Source organism: Homo sapiens, chromosome 13 (genome assembly GCF_000001405.40).
Source record: "Homo sapiens chromosome 13, GRCh38.p14 Primary Assembly".
Classification (NCBI taxonomy): domain Eukaryota; kingdom Metazoa; phylum Chordata; class Mammalia; order Primates; family Hominidae; genus Homo; species Homo sapiens.
In genome coordinates this window covers 103,427,686-103,448,122 of record NC_000013.11, presented here as the reverse complement: position 1 = coordinate 103,448,122, position 20,437 = coordinate 103,427,686, and the positions used below count along the sequence as shown (strand labels likewise).

Below are 20,437 nucleotides of genomic sequence, written 5' to 3'. Positions count from 1 at the left end.
GAGTTGGATTTTCAAGACAGAGTTGGAGGTTGACAGGTAAAGAAAATGGCAAATGGGGTCCAAGTGGAGAGAACTCAATTGTAAACATGCGGAAACATAAAGACCTTGGACCCTTATAAGAACAGTAACAGATATGGATTGCCTGGCTTGAAAAGTGTAATTGTTAAAACACTATGGTAGGAGGGGCCATGCAGGTTTATGCCAGATGTCAGGCTAAAGAGTTAGCACTAGATTATATAGGAAATGTGGTAAAACTTTAATGATTTTATATCAAGAAGAAAAATGCTGAGATTTTTGTTTTAGAAAAATCAGTCTGAGCATGAGGAAAAGATGGTAAAGAAGAGAAAAGATAACTAAAAGTAATTTACACAGATAATTACAAAAATCTAGATGAAAGAGACTATGACTTAAAATAGTAGATGACATTGAGAACAGGAGACCCCCAAGAGATTTGGGATACACTTCGGAAAAAATAGCTATTAATTAGAGGGTTTATTTTTCTTGCATTATCAAACAAACTGAGGAAGGTAAATTTAATTATCGATCCAGCTAACACAAAGACATGTGCTTGGCAAATGTTGTATGGGTATTTAAAATATCTTACCAAGTTTATTCTCATAAAAATCCATAGTATATTGAGGGGATTAATAAAAAGAAAGATAGAGGCATATGGGGATCTCATCTAACAAGTCAATTTTCTGCTGCAACTTTAACATTTAACATTTTTTATGCTTGTTAGCTCTTGAGTTTTGAAGATATTCAGGGTCTATCCATTCTAGACATCTTTCTCTCCCCCTTTCAAACTGTAAACATCTAAATTTATATTTGATCTAAAACATTTTTCACAAGAGTTGCTGAATTAGGAGGCACATTGATCCAACAGATGTATCAAATCAATTAGCCTGGAGGATTAGAAACAATATTTAACCATTCAAAGTCACCTGTCATAAGTGCCATCAAATGAAAAAGGGGAAATTTTGTCCTAATTATTCTACCTTGTAATAGTACTATTGTGGTACAAGTGAAGTACCAAAAGGTTTGGTTTGGTTTGGTTTGGTTTTCTCATCAGATAAGGGCTGGCTAGAGGTGGTGGGAAACTATTTATACCTGAAGTTTTTCTCTTGAGTAGCCAATAGATAATAAGGCCATTAACTCAGATTGAGATTAAACAGAGGATTATTGCTCTGTTTACTTGCCTCCTTAGACTTGGGGGCAAATATGTCTAATTTAGAGGATTATTTTGAGATGTCTGAGATGTATGAAAGACATGTTCTTAAGTTGTTTAGCAGGTAATTGTGTAGTTGAATAGCAGTCCGATATGACACCAAAAGCACAGGCAACAAAACAAAATATAGACAAACTGGAGTTAGTGAAAATTTGTTTTTAATTGTGCATCACAATGTAGTATGGATACAATAAAAAAGCAGCCCACAAAATGGAAGAACATTTTTGCAAATCATATATCTGATAAAGGATTAATATCCAGAATATATAGAGAACACCTCAAATTTCAAAAAAAGAAAAGATGTAAAAAATGGACAAAAGTATAATACCCAGTACTGGGATTGCCGGATCGAACGGTAATTCTGCTTTTAGTTCTCTGAGAATTCACCATACCATTTTCCACAGTGGCTGAACTAATTTACACTCCCACCAACAGCATATAAGTGGTCCCTTTTGTCTGCAACCTCACCAGCATCTGTTATTTTTTTACATTTTAATAATAGCCATTCTGACTGGTGTGAGATGGTATCTCATTGTGGTTTTGATTTGCATTTCTCTAATAATCAGTGGTAATGAGCTTTTTTCCATATGATTGTTAGCCACATGTATGTCTTCTTTTTGAGAAGTCTCTATTCATTTCCTTTGCCCACTTCGTAATGGGGTTGTTTTTCTCTTGCAAGTTTAAGTTCCTTAAAGATGCTGGATATTAGACCTTTGTCAGAGGCATAGTTTGCAAATATTTCCCCCATTCTATACGTTGTCTGTTTACTCTGTTAATAGTTTATTTTGCTGTGCAGAAACTCTTAAGTTTAATTAGATCTTATTTGTCAATTTTTGCTTTTGCCGCGATTGCTTTGGTGCCTTTGTCATGAAATCTTTGCCTGTTCCTATGTCCAGGATGGTAGTGCCTAGGTTGTCTTTCAGGGTTTTTATAGTTTGGGGTTTTAGATTTAAATCTTTAATCCATCTTAAGTTGATTTCTGTATATGGTGTAAGGAAGAGGTCCAGCTTCATTCTTCTGCATATGGCTAGCCAGTTATCCCAGCACAATTTATTGAATAGGGAGTCATTTCCTTATTGCTAGTTTTTGTCAGTTTTGTTGAAGATCAGATGGTCGTAGATGTGCAGCCTTATTTCTTGGTTCTCTATTCTGTTCCCTTAGTCTATGTGCCTGTGTTTATACCAGTACAATGCTATTTTGGTTTTCTGTAGCCTTGTAGTATAGTTTGAAGTTGGGTAACATGATGCCTCCAGCTTTGTTCTTTTTGCTTAGGATTACCTTGGCTATTCAGTCACTTTTCGGGTTCCATATGAATTTTAAATAGTTCTTTCTAGTTCTGTGCAGAATGACATTGGTAGTTTCATGGGAACAGTGTTGAATTTGTAAATTGCCTTGGGCAATATAGCCATTTTAATTATATTGATTTTTCCTAACCATGAGCATGGGATGTTTTCTATTTGTTTGTGTCTTCTCTGATTGCTTTGAGCAGTGTTTTGTAATTCTTATTGCAGATATCTTTCACCTCCCCGGTTAGCTGTATTTCTAGGTATTTTATTCTTTTTGTGGCATTTGTGAATGAGATTGCCTTTCTGATTTGGCTCTTGGTTTGACTGTTGTTGATGTATAGGAATGCTAGTGATTTTTGCACATTGATTTTGTATCATGAAGCTTTGCTGAAGTTGTTTGTCAGCTGGAGGAGATTTTGGGCCAAGACTATGAGGTTTTCTAGATATACATTCATGTCATCTGCAAACAGAGATAGTTTGACTTCTTCTCTTCCTATTTCGATGCCTTTATTTCTTTATCTTGGCTGATTGCTCTGGCTAGGGCTTCCAATACTATTTTGAATGGAAGTGGTGACAGAGGGCATCCTTGTCTTGTGCCAGTTTTCATTCTACCATAAAGACACATGCATGTAAATGTTCATTGCATCAGTATTCACAATAGCAAAGATGTGGAATCAACCTAAGTGCTCATCAATGACAGGTGAGGTGTCAGATGCCCACAAGCTAGAGAACCAGAAGCTGAAGCTGACCAAAGCAGCAGCTCGGGCTGAGACTGAACAGTTCTGCCTACAGAGGGAGGAAGAGTTCAAGGCCAAGGAAGCCATGGCACTAGTATCCCATGGCAGCTGCAGCAATGAAGTGGAGAGGGCGACCCAGGAAAAAAGACTTTACTCCAGATCTACTTCCCACTGGGCATATATGAAGTCTTGATTAACCTCTTGGCCTTTGTCTGCAACATCTGGCCATAAATCTATAAAACTACTGCATAAATAGATAGGAGAAGAAAGAAGTGCCTGTTTCATGGATTGGCATTTTACATGCGCTCATAAAATATGAAGCTTTAGCAAAGCTTGAATTACATTCTTATGAAAAGTCATTAAATTATTTCTGTACATTATGCAGTAGGTCCCTTCACACTTCGGAAAGTAACAAATCTAGCTTCTTTGTACCGACTTAGAAGTTATCTAAAGCTTTCATCTTCTAACCTCATATGCCTTAGAAATTTAACGGGTATATTGTCTGTTTCCTATGCCTTTTGGTTCAAGCAACATATATGGCAATGTTTCTTGAGCCAAAAGGCATATCTAGTAAAAAATTTATTTGAAGGAAGAAAGATGTTAAATATTTTTCCCCCTGATGCTCTCTTGAAGGTCAAGGGCTTTATCGCTGAAAAACTAGTGGTTATTTGTAACATATGTGAAATGGCAGCCAGCCTTCAAGTAGTTCATTCCTGCTGATGATTAGAAAAATGAATACTAGTATAATTGTTTGGGTTCCTTTTAGTTTATCTTAATCAAAATTACCAGATGACAGAATTCAAGAATTTGTTACATGTTATTAGTTGGTGTACCAATAATCACTTAAAAGTGAAGACTTTTTGTCATGCAAAAAATGGACAAAGACTTTAATAGACATATCTTTAAAAAATACAAATGGCTAATAAGAACATAAAATGATGTTCAACATCTCTAGTCACTTGGGAACTGCAAATAAAAACTACAACATACCACTTCACAACATTAGGGTGGCTACTATCAAAATAGCAGGAAATAGCAGGTAATGGCAAGAATGTGAAGTATTTGGAACCCTTCTGCACTGTTGGCGGGAATGTGAAGTATTATAGGTGCCGTGGAGAACAGTGTGGTGGCTCCTTAAAAGTTAAACACAGAATTACCATGTAATCCAGCAGTTCCACTTTCAGATATATGTACCCAAAAGAAGTGAACGCAGAGTCTGGAACAGATATATGTACGCCTATGTTCACAGCAGCATTATTTACAGTAGCTAAAACATGGAAACAACCCAAGTGTCCATTGACAGATGAATAAATAACAAATGTGGTATACACATACAATGGAATATAATGCGGCCTTAAAAAGGAAGAAAACTCTGATATAGGCTAGAATGTGGAGGAAACTTGACAGCATTATGCCAAGTGAAATAAGCCATATTCACACACAAAAATGACTGTATGATTCCACTTATATGAGGTCCCTAGAGTGGTCAGAATCATAGAGACAGAAAATAGAATAGTGGTTACGGGGGCTGGGGGGAAGAAGAAATAGGAGTTGTTTAATGGGTATACAGTTTCACTTTCACATGATGAAAAGAGTGCTGCAGATGAATGCTGGTGATGGTTGCAGACATTACAAATGTATTTGATACTGCTGAATTGCACACTTAAAAATCACTAAGATGGCAGATTTTATGTGTATTTTGTCACAATTTAAAAAGGGAAAAAGTAGTCAGATATAAAGTCCATCAAAGGAACTAAGAAGAAAGTAATCAGAGAAGTAGAAGTGGAAGAAAAAGAAATCAGCCTTAAAACCAAAGAGAGAAAGAATCTGGATAAATGCCTATTGATCTGAGTCATATTAAAAATCAGAGACGCAACATTACTTTTCTGAGGTGCATGGTGTTACCTCTCTGAATGAAAAGGAGGCAGCTATATTTTTTGATGTTGTAATTAACACACGTAGTTGTTTAATGAGATTTACATGCAAAATTCTTGAATGATGGTAAATTGAAGCCTATATGAAAGTATGATAATCTTAATGACACAACATTTTATTTATCTTTTTATTTTTAAAAGGATAAAGTGCAGAACGTGTAGGTTTGTTACATAGGTATACATGTGCCACGGTGGTTTGCTGCACCTATTAATCCGTCATCTAGGTTTTAAGCCCCTCATGCATTAGCTATTTGTCATAATGCTCTCCATACATTTTACCTAACCAATAGCTAACAGCCCAGTTAGAAGGAAAAGTTGCGAGAGAGAAAATGAGTTTGTTAAGTTCACCAGCAACCAAATCTCAAAGATTGTAATGGTAATAATAATTTTTTATAAATCAAAAAATAAGTGATATAAGCAGGATAGCTGGAACTGAGATGAGAATTTCTGTGGCATCTGATTAACTGCCAGGAAATGACTGATTCTCTAGTAATCAAAATGAAAAAGGAAATCAGGTAGGTTTATAATATATACAACCACAGGCTCTATGATGCACAGCACTCACCAATTCAACCTTCTTGTGGATTAATTAGCATTGTGAATACTCAGCATATATTAATGGTTTACAAGTAAGAAATTACAAACGTTGTGCAGGTTCAAAGGATCTCAAAACAGCTCAAGGGATTAGCATAAAACATGGTGATCTTTTAGAAGAGCACACCTGTTATAATTAGACGCTGTCAAAAGCAGTGATTAGAACAGAGAGCATTAAAAATCTGTTGTGTTTGGGTTTTGAGGACATTACCATTAGAGAAAGTTAGGAAAAGAGCTCTTGAACCCTTCTGACCTCTTTTTTCCAGACAGAAGAAAAATATAAAAACAAATGCTTAAAACACACAGAATACTCACTGAACAAAACATTTCCCAGCCCAACTTCAAGTAAAAGCTTGAGAAAGTTAGGAAAAGAGCTCTTGAACCCTTCTGACCTCTTTTTTCCAGACAGAAGAAAAATATAAAAACAAATGCTTAAAACACACAGAATACTCACTGAACAAAACATTTCCCAGCCCAACTTCAAGTAAAAGCCCATTCAGATGAGTGCATAGCTAGCAACACTGAGTAGACTCATGAAGTATGCTCGGACAAGAACAGCACCAAGTGTCCTCATGGAGTGAGATGGCAACTGAATTGCAGGTCTTGTGAGTCCAGTTCTCAGAGAAAAGTGGATTCATAATTCTAAATTGTTCCAGAAAAGAAAACTAATGAGAAGTTTGTTTTCCATGTAGGTCCTCATTGTCATATTCGTCAGAAGGAGAACTAGAGAAACACAGTATATTTCTCCTCTTCTGAAAACGCAGACATGCCTGTGTATGGGACCATTCTGTGGCCAGCCAGCCCTGTGTACCCTCCTAAATCTTCCTAAGGTTCTCATAACCTAAAATTCATAATTTGTGACCTAATCAGAGCCCATTTACAATATTCACTACTGGGGACTTGAACTCTCTTAATGAGAAAAGTGCCTCCTTCCCATTAAAAGGCCAAGTTACACTAATTTTCAACATCTTCTGCAAGCATACCTTGACGATGGCTATGTAATTTAGTTACCTCATTAAAAGTAATGGCAAGAAGCACAATTACTTTTGCACCCAACTAATACATGACTTTTTCTCTCTGAATCTCACTTGCTGGATTGTGGGGATACCACTGTAGATTCAGTTCAGTCTTTGGGACATGAATATTAGGGTTCCTATTGAGGTTTCATTATGTTGGCACATGAATAAGCAGAATGTGCCCTCTGACCCAAACTCCCATGGAGGAGTAGGCACCAACACAGGTGGCTCTCAGAGCAGTGTTTTTAGGGTAACAGAAGATATCGCAGCAGGCATACCAACCTGAAGAGACTGAAGTGCTGCCCTTGACACCCTGAATTTGGCCAGCCAGCTCTTTTCTGTCTAAATAGAACCTTCTATAAGAAGAGGCTATTTCCATTTGACCCAGCCATCCCATTACTGGGTATATACCCAAATGATTATAAATCACGCTGCTATAAAGACACATGAACACGTATGTTTATTGTGGCACTATTCACAATAGCAAAGACTTGGAACCAACCCAAATGTCCATCAATGATAGATTGGATTAAGACAATGTGGCACATATACACCATGAAATACTATGCAGCCATAAAAAGGATGAGTTCATGTCCTTTGTAGGGACATGGATGAAGCTGGAAACCATCATTCTCAGCAAACTATCAGAAGGACAGAAAACCAAATACTGTATGTTCTCACTCATAGGTGGGAATTGAACAATGAGAACACTTGGACACAGGAAGGGGAACATCACACATTGGGGCCTGTCATGGGGTGGGGGGAGGGGGGAGGGATAGCATTAGGAGGTACACCTAATGTAAATGATGAGTTAATGGGTGCAGCACACCAACATGGCACATGTATACATATGTAACAAACCTGCACATTGTGCACATGTACCCTAGAACTTAAACTATAATTAAAAAAAAAAAAAAAGAAGAGGCTATTTCCTTGTGAGGTCTCCAAAAGTTAGAATGCAACCAGAACATTATTTGGTGCACAAAACACTGCCTAGATATATATTTTTATTTGTATTTTTCATGTTTAGAAAATGAAATTAATGAATAACATTTATCTCTTTCTAATATGTATGTTGTTGAGTATATGTATGTGTGTGTGTGTTGTGTGTGTATTTTTGTGTACGTATGCACATTCCAGCCAAACCCTCATCAGCTGCTGTTTTATTATCCCATATTTTGCCATTTATTTACAACAAATGGTTTATCCATCTGGTCATAAGGAGAACTTTCATAAACATGAGCATCTGACCATAACATAACTCACATCGCATTTGTGTTCAAAAACTGTCCCCCAAACCCTTCTTTCTTAATATTTCATGTTGTATTTTAAAAAAAGAGATTATATAATTATCTTCTACATGTCCAAAAGACCTATTACCACAGTTGCCAGGTGATTATTGATTTTGGAAGCAACTTTCAAATTTTAAATGAAGAATGTCATTTAACTTCAGAATAGAAGGTAGGCTTAACGTTCATTATAAAACAGCCATGATCCACTCTTTGAAAATAGCATAGAATGCTGGGTCAGCCTTCATCATTTCTGTGATTTGATGCCATAACTGTGGCCATAAACTTCAAAGGCACAGGGACAGCTTGGAGGCAGTTCAACAGATAGCAATGGAATCAGAGTTTCAGAACTGGAAGGGATACTCGGATCAATGCATTCTCCTAACTGCACAGAGGAGAAATAGATAGATTGGAAAGATAGCTAAAGAAAATATTCTCAGAAAAGGGGTTATTTTTTGTGTTGAAAGAGAAGGCAAAAGAGTATCTTCCAATTACAAATATGTAGTTGAAAATAGAGTATAAGGATGTCTTTGCCACTACCCACCACACCACATACACACACACACACACACACACACACACACACACACACACACAAAATCACAATCATAATCACATATAACAGCAATACATACCCAAATCAAGACAAAAAGTGGAAAGGAATTATGCTGTAAGTTGAGCCAAACGCAAAATAAATTAGTAAATACCCAAGGATGTGAGCTGTTGTTCTATCTGAAGAACTTAAGCATTGAAATCTTTACTTTTTAGTGGTGAAAATATTAGCAATTAGCAAATATTTTAGATTTTGAAACACTTTTCTTTTTTCTTTTTTTGAGACAGAGTCTCGCTCTGTTGCCCATGCTGGAGTGCAGTGGCGCGATCTCGGCTCACTGCAACCTCCACCTCCCAGGTTCACGCCATTCTCCTGCCTCAGCCTCCCAAGTAGCTGGGACAACAGGCGCCCGCCATCACGCCTAGCTAATTTTTTGTATTTTTAGTAGAGAAGGGGTTTCACCGTGTTAGCCAGGATGGTCTTGATCTCCTGACCTCGTGATCCACCTGCCTCGGCCTCCCAAAGTGCTGGGATTACAGGTGTGAGTCACCATGCCTGGCCGATTTTGAAACACTTTTTTACATATTTCATTAAGTTGACACAATAATCATATGACACAGGTATTAATATTCACATTTGTCATACATGAAAACTGAAGGTCAGAGAATATGTAATTTAACAAAAACTGCACAGTTTGTAAATGACAGTATCAGAAATCAATTTAGGTGTTCTGATTTAAGATATTAGTCATTTCTTTGTGTCTAGTGAGCACTTCTTTGGCGGTAAAGAATAGTGATTTAAAATAATACTTTGGAAAAAACGGGGCCCTTTCATGCCTTTCTTAAAAACAGCAAATGTGGGAACAGGACAAACTAACTGGAAAAGGGGGCTCATCTAGCCCTGCCTTTTCCTAGAACAGCCGGCAGAAGTGCTTTGGTATCCCTTGATGATAGCACTGCCCTGCATGTGTGACAACAAAAGAGATAACAACATATCGACATATCAAGAGATAACATGCATAACAACAACTCATCCTAAGCCAAGGCTGGGTTTTGGAAAGGTTGCCGAATCATAAAAAAAAAGTTTACGTTTTCAAATGAAAAATTCAGTTGTTTGGGAAAAAAGACTCAAGCCTACACAGCTAATCCCAGGTAAATTAGTGTTGTCTAGTGGAGGGAACATAGGTTTGAGTGCAGTCAGATTCATAATCAAATCCAGGCTTAACTCCTCACTCTTGGGTGCACTGCTCTATTTATTATTTGCTTTCACTGAACCTCAGTTACGCCATCTATAAATGGTGGGAAGTGCCAGTTTCAAAGGGCTAGTCTGAGGCTCAAAGGAGATTGCCTGTGTAAACTGCTTTCTACCAGCCCCTCCAGGAGTGCCATTCTGTTATTTTGTGTAGTTATGCACAAGACCTCAAGCCCATGCAGACATACTTAGGGTTAGAGTGTTAGCATTAGAAACAGAGTTAGGGTCAACATTAAGGATTTAGAGATCTTTGTTTTCTTCTCTTAATAATTAGAATGCACAATTACTTTATTTCTTTTGTGAGTGTCATATGGCTTACATGCCTAGCAACAGTGACCAACACAACTAAGTTGTTTAAAAAATATTGTTTTTAATGTTACTGAATTTCCTGCTGTGAAGATATTCTCTAGTGCCAAAAATTACACGTCATAGCTTTTCTCTAGAACTCACTCAGTAAGAGATCAGCTACAAAATATTATTTCTACATCTGGAGAATTCATGTGTGGCATGAGAGTTTCTTTTAACTCATGCATATATGAGTGAATAATGATCCTCCCACATCTGAACAAGCTGTGCAAAATGTTCCAACTCTATCCCTCCTGTACTGCTACGTTTCTACAGATAGTGATATGCTATAAAATAAGATTATTAAGAATTTGATTACGATTGGTATGGATCTTGGAAACAGCCTGAATTTAGATTATTTAAACTTTATTTCTATTATTTAAAACCTATGCATTTCCAAGTACCCTTTGGCTAAGCTACCAATGAGGGTAGGATTTAATATTTATTGAGCATCTACTGTGAATTAAATATTCTTTATGTATTAGCATTGAATTCTCACTAGATCACATATCAGTATTCTAAGTTATAGATAGACCCAGTAATTGAATGGCTCAAACATAACGCATGCTCATTTCTTGCTTACGTAAGCTACTGGGTGGGTTTTCATGATTATAGCTCTTGTCCAGGCCATCATTTAGGGTGAGTTCCTTTCATCTGATGGCTCTGCCATCCCCTACTGCCTCATTATTGTTTGAATCCAGTTAGAAGAAGGGAGAATGTCATGTTGAAGGTTTTATGGCCAGGTTTAGAAGTGACACACAGCCCTTCCACTCCCATTATGTAGGACAGAATTAGTCACATGTCCATACCCAGTACAAGGGATGCTGGGAAATGTTTTCTACCTACATCCAAAGAAACAGTACCTTAGGCTCATAGTGTTAAATAAATAATTTGTGGTAATGACCAGGTTTTGGACCCAGGCTTATCTAACTCCAAAGTTCATGTTGTTTCTGTGATCATAAGCTGCCTATCAGATTTTAAGACTTATGTTTCTACCACACTACGGCTCAAAATTTGTTGTACATTTTCTCCCGTTCATCCTGTTACTGAAGAAGCCATAATAAGTGACTCCTAAATTCAATATTCTTAGATGTAAAAATTTCTATTCCAAGTGTCTACTTCGCTTTTGATCTTTTAAGTGTGCATTCTAGAAGGGGAACAAATCCACCAGTGTTTGTATCAAATATTAAATGAGGGTTACCTAAGACCCAAAAGGCTTGGACCCTCATCTTTCACTCAGGAAAATGTGAGTGTGCCCTAAGAGTAGAAATGCAAGCATTCTACATGACAATAAACACAACCAGCAGTTAACTACAAGTGTAATTTTGTGGAAGCCACAGAAATGCAGTTCTCAGCTCTGATTCAATAGATTCCTTCCTTCCTGCGGGGAGCACAGCAAGCATGGCTAACAGGCAGCCCCAGCCGACCCCCGTCGGGATCTCCGCTGCAGGCACATGGAGACCACACTTCCCTCAGGATTCTCCCAGGCAGACACAGAAGGGACACGAAGGAAGTCCAATCCTGCAGATCTACAGAACCCTCTGATGGGAATCTTTGGCTCAGGAACTCCACATCACTGGGACCAAACGTTCTGAGAACAGCACTAGGGTCTGAGAGCCTTCTTGTCAGGTCTCTCTCCTGTCTCTCATTTAACATTGTCGGTCTCAGGCCTGCAATGCTGTGCGCAGGCCTACCAACCCCTGCTCTTTTATTCTTATGTATTTATCTCAATAAATCTCTTGCTTGTCTAATCCTTTTTGAACATTTATTTCTGGAGGACTTAAATTGATGCAAATATTAAGTTGAACTTAATATTTGTAGATGCTAAAAGCGCATCAATTTATAAATATACACACTCATACACATACATTTACAGCGAGAGAGAGGGATGTCTAAGCCCCAAAGTAAGCAAAATGCTTGAAACAAACAAACAAAAAAAACAGGAATAATCTCACTAAAGTCAGGAACAAAACAAGCGTAACTACTATAAAAGCCATCATGTAATGTTGTAAATGAAGAACTAAGCAAAAATAAAACAAAACAAAATGAAAAGAATTACAGTAATAAAAATTCAAAGTAAAAAGACTTAATTTTACCTGATCTGATTATGCCTGAAAATCACAAATGGTAATAAAAAATATGGCAAACAGTAAGTTCATAAAAATTGCAGAAAACAAGAGTAATACTATTAAAAAATCCATTGTTTTTACACTTGCAAACAATAGCCAGTTAGAAAGTATAATAGAAGGAAAGGTCCTATACTATAAATTATAAAGCCCGTAGGAATAAATTTAATAAGACCTGTGTAAATCTATATGAAAACAATTTTAAAATGCAACTGAAAAACAAAACTTAAGAATTGAACAAAAGACACAGTATGTGTTCATGGAGAGGAAGATTTAACATCGTACAATAATTATTTCTCTGTTAAGTTTATTTGCTTCTTTGAAATGCACCCAACAAAATACCACAATCATATTATTTAGAATTAGGACAGTGATTATAACATTAATACAGATGAATAAACAATGTAGTGAAGAAATATTTGAAACAGAAGAGCAATGAAGAATCACTGGTTTTACTAGATATCAAAATATTATAAAGCATTAATAATAAAAAATAATATGGTATTGATGCATAAATAGGCCATCAAACATAATTCAGAATCTAGAAAACCTAGCAAAATCCCAATTCAAAACAAAATTCCTTTTAAAAAAAGGGAATTTAGTATATGGTAAAAGTTGTTTCTACCTTTTGAAATCAGTAGGGAAAAGGGGACTACTAAAATTGGCAAGAATAACTAAGTAGACATTTGGAAAAACATAAAGCTAAATTCATATGCCACACTCTACACCATGATAAATTTCCAATGATCAAAAATCTATACGTGAATTAATTAAGCTGTGAAACTACTAGAAGAAAACATGGCTAAATTCTTCATAATATTGAAATAAGAAAAGTCTTCTTTATTCAGACTCAAAACTCAAAAGCCATAAATCTGATAAATTTAACCACATGAGAATCAAAATTTCCTTCAGGTAGAGAGTTTATGCAAAACAAAATCAAGCTAAGTGCAGCTAACTGTCAGGGAACAGGGAAAGGGACTGAGGAGTGCTCAAATTTCCCACTAGGGTCAAGCCTGGCTAATTAAATTAATGAGAAACCAACCCAAATCCCAATAGGAAGGAAATGAAAAGACAGTTCACAAAAAAGAAAATGGAAATGATGCCAAAACGCATGAAACAATGTTCATATTTACATATAATGAGTGAAATGCTAACTAAAATTGAATTCAAATACATTTTTCTCCAGATATTTTTTAAAAATCTAAGTTTTGATAACTGACTCTGGGCTATCATTTGAATGATGTTGATTGCTCCAAAATTCATGAAACTTGACCCCCAATGCCACATTATTAGGAGGTTTGGCTTTTGGGAGTTTACTGAGTCAGGAGGGTACTGGCCTCACACTGGGATTAGCTGTTCTCATCAAAGGACTTGATAGAGAAAGTTAACCCCTTTTTGCCCTTCCACTCTTCTGCCTCATGAGGATGTCACAAGAGAAGGTGCTATCTACGGAGCAGGCCCTCACCACACATCAAACCTGCTGGCACCTTGATCTCAGCCTTTGCAGCCTCCAGAACTGTGATAAATAAGTTTCTGCTCTGTATAAAGTACCTGGTCTCAGGTATTTTGTTATAACAGCAGACTCAGACACCCTCTTATGAGGTTATAGGGAAACAGGTGCTTTCATATACTGCTGGGCTAAATTAGCACCATCCTTTCCGAGGGCAAGTTGGCAATGTCATCATTATGAAAATGGACCCAGAAATTACATCCTTGGAATTTAACTGCACAAATATGACATGATGTAAGGCTCCTTACTGAAGCATCTTTTATGGCTACCAATAGGAAACAACTCAGATAGTTAATAAATGATGACAACTTCTCACAATGCAATGTGATACTACTTAAAGGAAAGGAATGAAAGAACTGTATCCAAACATAGAAATATTTCCTTCCAAAATACTTCAAATAAAGACCAAGATATACAGTAATGTGTGTGATATGATACACACACCTTCTGGATATAAAAAAGGAAATAAGAGTGCACATGTGTGTATATGTGTACCTGCAAAATGAAACCCTGGAAGAAAACATAAGAAACTAATGACCATGGTTACCCACAGGGGGGGAGCAGTAAGAGATGTGCAGATGAGGGATGAAAATGAAGGCAAGACCTTTTATTCTACACATTTTTATAACTTGATTCTGCATTCAAATTTTTTGATCATCTATTCAGTTTCTATAATCATAAGAAGAATACCAGAGCAAGCAAAGGTTAAAATATATATATTCATTTATTTCAAAAATGTTTATTCAACAACCACGGTGTAGCAAGAGCTGAACCAGGCAATGAAGAATGAAAGATGACAATTCCAGTATTTAAGGAGCATACAGTCTAGTGAAAGAAACTGACAAGCAATAATGACCTAGATTTAAAACTTGAATGATTGAGCAAAGGAAACTGCACCAGTAGAAACAGAAAAGTCAAAAGGGAAAGCCACCTTAAGAAATAATATAGCTGATAGGAGATATTCTACAATTTGATGAAATGAAGGATTTATGCAAATTGAAAATTCCATCAGTTAGTGGATACAAGACTGGCATTTATAAAGGACTCCAAAACTGGATTTTGAGTGTTATTTTGAGGCTGAAAATATAGAAGAGAAAGCAAAAAGAGAAGGGAATTCATAGGAAATCCTAGCCAATGTCCACATGCATTGGGCTTAGGACATTTTTCCTTTCATTGAAGTTTCCATTCAAGATTCTGCCCTGAAAAAGTAGCCTCAATAAACATAGGATTGAAGTATTTTTCATATACAACTAAACAAAAGGCTTAAAACTCATAACAGTCTCTGTCAAAACATCTATCTCTTTAAAATGATAATAACTTTAAAAACTCACAGTAAGATAGTCTATGATATGATATTGCTGAAGCTGTATATCTGACATCTGGTGAGATGTCTAGTACCATTTTATGATTTATGATACAGGAAATCTGAAGATCCTTTGGATACGGTATGATTCATGTAAAAAAGACACTTTGATTCAAATCCATTTACTTTTATTTTTGATCATTCAGAGAAATTATTTCATGTCGAATATTAATTCTTCCAAGAAACATCTGGTAGAGCACGATGCTAATGAGGCCACAGTTGCTGGTTCAATCCGTACACTGCAGACAGGCGCCACAGAGGGAGAAGCTTTTTTTGTATGCACCTCTAATCAAGTCCAGCTGTCTTCCAATTTTGACACTGGGCACAAAGGGACCCAGGTGAGAGAAGGTGAATTCCTGATGAGGAATCATCATCCACAAAAAGTAGCAGAAATTTCTTAGTTAATCTTACATCTCACAACATGACAGGCTGTGGGCTCAGTCATCTACATTTGTCCTTGAGGGTTTCTTTTTTAATGTAAGACAATATTATTCAAGTAAGTATATCACAAATGATTCATTCAACCAGGATAAAGGGAAAATGCAAGGTAATGCGTGCTCAATGCAACTGAATTCCTCTAATTTCTCCTAGGCACCGTTATTGTCAACCAGATAATGCTGTGTTGCTCCTGCTTTAAATCTGAACATAACTTTACCATGCAGGAAAATAAACTCACAAACAAAAATACATTTTCAGACTCCATCAAGAGTGCTGCCAAGCATAGAGTTTACAAGTGTAACAATGGCAGCTGTTCCCACTAGTAAGAACAGCTGGGAAAAACAGAACTAGAGTCATTATCTCTCAGATTATGATCTGCTGGAACAATGCCCAAAATATCAACACTGCCACTGAGTGACAGCATTTAGCCTCTGATAACCTCATTTAAATTTTCATTTCACTTCACTAAAATGCATTAACGGTGTCACATATTCAAGAATAAACAAAACATTTCAGAATTATTCCAACAATATACGTGGAAATCTGTTTTCTTTTAGAGACTTTAAACTGCCTGTATTCAAGATTAGCAAATACCGAGTCACTTCATTCCTGAGAGACCACCATCTAAAGGAAGCACACTTTTTTGGAAGAGAAGTAATAGAATAGATATATATTGTTCAAGCTGTCCATGAAATAAAATCCAGGTTTGATTATTACAGTTAGAAAATCGGCACCACAATGTCCAGAAGATCAGGGATAGAGAAACATCCTGTCAATCTTATGCTCTATGGGCATGAATGAGGATTATGAATTCAGAAAGCGAGTTACATTTACAAACCACTCGTGTATACAGAATACATCTGTGTGTGACTCTGCAAAAAGCAAGTAGAATATAAAATAATGCAGAAATAATAACCTCTCTCTCTATGAAGGAGAAGCTATAGGAATGACAAAGATAGAAGGCAAATGAACAAGAGGATGTCCTAGAAGTCAAGTACAAAGAAACCCTGCTGAGGAGTCAGCAGTGGTCCGTGGCGTGTGATGGATGACTCTTCATTTGTACTGCATATGGCCTTAACATCTTTTCGGAAAGTATGAGCAAACAAGTGTAAATACTATAATTGCGAGTGCACCATTATAGAAGATAAAACTCCAAAGAATGACTTAAAGGAATCAAAAAGAGAACAATGCATTGTGTAAAAGAAATGATATTTATTGTTTCTTGTTATTGAGAATATCATAGAGCAAAGAACAATCCAGCCAGTGTCAGGTAGCTGCAGAGACTATTTTACTACCTGCAGAACAGTTACAAAAGACTAGATTCTGTAAGTATTTGATATTAAAAAATTAAAATCTATCTGGAAAATTGAGACAGGGAAAAAAGAGGTGGCATCTGTAAGTATCATGCATCCCCTTCTGCTCCTGGAATTCCATGTTTAATAGAAAATTTTAATTCAAACACTCTAGGTGACTGACGAGATTACAGTGACATAGATGATATCCTAAAGCGTGAGTCTCAGAATCAGGAAGAACCCAGGTCTATCCCGTAAGTCATAGTTGTCAATGTTTTTCAAGTGGTTCCTACATGCTCAGGAAGTTTTTGGTGGGCTGCACATGGATTGTTTTCTCACAAAATTCTCCTAGCCACCCTAAGGTTTCATATTTTTGTTATCCTCATTATATAGATGAGGAAAATCTGCCACAGCCATGTTAAGTAACTTGGCTAAGGTCACGGAGTTGGTAAGTGGCGGAGGTAAACTATAAAGTATCTCACTTCCTCCAAAATGTCCCTATCTGGATGACTACAAAAGTCACTACTCTTCTTGGCATCGCACTATGCTTTTCTGTACAGTATGAATGAATCTCATGCCCTACTCACAAGCGTGTTATGGGATAACATCAAAACCATTGCCTTCTATAAAACAGTGACTCAATGCTGCTGACATCTTTATGACCATCATTAAAGATTATCAAGCACTTGAAACAGAGAGAGAAACAATAACCTTCTTAAATGCCTAAAATTAGGAAACCCTCTTGATTACAGCTGACTGAAAGCTGGGGACTCTTGTAAAGCCATCTTCTGTTTACATTGTATGGAAAAGCAGCTACTTGTCCTGAGTTCCACACCTTCCTGCTGTAACCTCCCACTGTGACTTTTCCTTTCCTCCACATTCATCAAATAAACCAAGAAGTTTCTACATATTAGACAGAAGGCAGTAAGTCCAGATATGGGGAAGGGGCTGGATAGCTGCATATATAATTATTAATTGACTATATTTATTTCTGCAGAGACAAAGACAGCCTTAACATTTCCCTCAGTTTAATTCAACTTTAGTCAGGTTTCTTCCTGACTCTATGCCCCTGACCTCCTTTTTCATAGAAAAACTTTAGAACACTTGCAATTGGAAACTCTCTCTCTGCCTCTTTAAGATATAAATCTTCTCCCAACCTCTTGCAAGTTTTACAACTAAGGAATGTCTTTTTCAAGGACCTGGGAGCCATCATTGAAATGGCATCATCAAGAAGGAGTCCCTATCTCCCAGTCTCTGTGAAAGGGCGTGAGCCAAACTTCCATCAGCACCAGTTGGGAAACACAGGTGGCCTGATCCCACTGACCAACCTCCCGTCATGTCATTCAGTACTTTTCCACTAGTTCACTCCAGTGTTTAAAACCTCGCCCACCTTTCATTTTAAGGGTGTGGAGTTTAGTCTCTCTCCCAATTGCAATAGTCTTGAATAAAGTCTTCCCTGCCTGTTTAACTCTGTCTGGTGCAAGTTTCTTTGACAGTGGTGGATTTTACATTCACTTGAGAGAGCAGAAACTAGGCAGGAAGAGGAAAGAAAATTATGTAGTGGATTTTCTGATGAGATAAAAAAAAAATGGAGGCTGCCTTAGTGTGAGCTTTTTATGTGAAAGTGCCAGCACCTCCATGACATCTTGATTGGGTCATGAAAGGAGTCATCCCCAAGCATGCAGACATCATGGGGAGAACTGAAAGTGGGATGGGGGGTGGACAAGGCATGAAAAATAAATGACAGCTTTAAAGAAGAACAATTATAAAATTTATACTCTACAAGAATAGACTTGTATGTAGATTAAAGTGCATTTCAATGCAAATTCAAGGCATATTTTTATGTAAATTTATATGTGGTCTTCTTGTTTATTTCATATATTTGGCTGTGACCTTGTAAAGACCTTAGCAACAATTCCTTCCTACTGCTTTAGAACTGTTAGGCAAGGAGAGGTCTATTGTGAGCTCCTCTTCAAGTAACTGGGTGAGGTTTGGGGAGGAAGAAGGGTAACTTTCTAATGATCTGAAGTTCTGAAATACTTAGGAGTATTTAGACCAGAGTAATATATTTAGGCCTAAATACTCAAAAGTTTCCCAGGATATTTCCATCCTGATGGGCTAGTATGGAATTCAGAGCTCTCAGTAAACATTAAAACCCAGTGCCTACCCAGGATCATTGATGGAACCTGGGGAACAGAGCTGACCTTTCTTGGGGCAGATGAATCCTTTGAAAGTGTCTGACACTCCTTGAAAGAACAACACGTGCCTATACCATGTCCCTTCCACCATGAGAGCTTTGGGTTAGAACTCAGATCAATTTATATTTCAAATCCTAGCTATGAAAGCTTGGGCAAACAAGAAAACTTATCGAAGCTTCAGGTCCCCAATATACAGATTGATTGATAGATGATTGATATAGATAGAAAGATAGATAGATAGACAGAGTTCCTTTATTTGAGAGGAATAAAAATCTCTACTAAAGAGAGGTGTTGTGATACTTACTGCCATATCTGGCACAGAGAAGACACTCAATGTAGGCAGCTTCTATTGTCATTATTATTGTTACTATTATTGTGATTTTTCCAATTTTTTAAATTCCCATTTACCAATAATAAAAGCCCCACATCACTTGACTTTAGGTTCCTGGATATGTGTGTGTTCCTCAGATATCCAAAGTGTGATTTTACTTGTCAGAGAAGTGAATTTCAAGGAGCTCTGGGCCTAGATAAATTAATTTCTATGATGCAACATTTATGATAATGATATGTACAAATGATTTGCTCAGTAAATGCATTTGAATGCCTTCCCAAGTTTGATGCTGTATTAGTTTGCCAGGGCTGCTATAACAAAGTACCATAGACTGAGTGGCTTAAACAAAAGAAATTTATTTCACATTTCTGGAGACTAGAGCTCCAAAAGCTGGGTGCTGGCAGGGTTGGTTTCTTACAGAAAGGCCTCTCTCCTTGAGGGTTGGTTTCTTACGGACAGGCCTCTCTCTTGGTCTTGTAGATGGTCATCCTCTCCCCGTGTCTTTATATAATCTTCCCTCTGTATCCAAATTCCCTCTTCCTATCAGGATGCCCATCTTGTTGGATTAGAGCTGACCCTAGTGACCTCATTTTAATTTAATTATTTCTATAAAGGCCCTGTCTCCAAATACAGACACATTCTGAGGTACTGACCCCAACATGAATTTTGTGGGGGACACAGTTTAGCCCATAACACATGACTTAATTTTATATATGTCTATTTTATCTAATTTTCTACTTAGTGGCCTTTTCTTTTTCACCTCATCCATTATAGTTTCCCAATATTTATAACGTTTGATCATTATTAACTATTGAAACACCTTTAAATTTAATCTGATACAGAAATGCCCTAGTCCAGGTAACAGGTAGAGCAGGCACCAGGTAGAGCAGGCTGGGATCTCACATAAGAATATATGGTAGAAAGAATTAGAATTTTATTTCATAGAGAG

The 20,437-nt window shown here is 37.0% G+C and overlaps 1 pseudogene; it reads left to right on the top strand.

The window, feature by feature from the left end:
• ATP6V1G1P7 (ATPase H+ transporting V1 subunit G1 pseudogene 7) lies at positions 2,555 to 4,103 on the top strand (annotated as a pseudogene).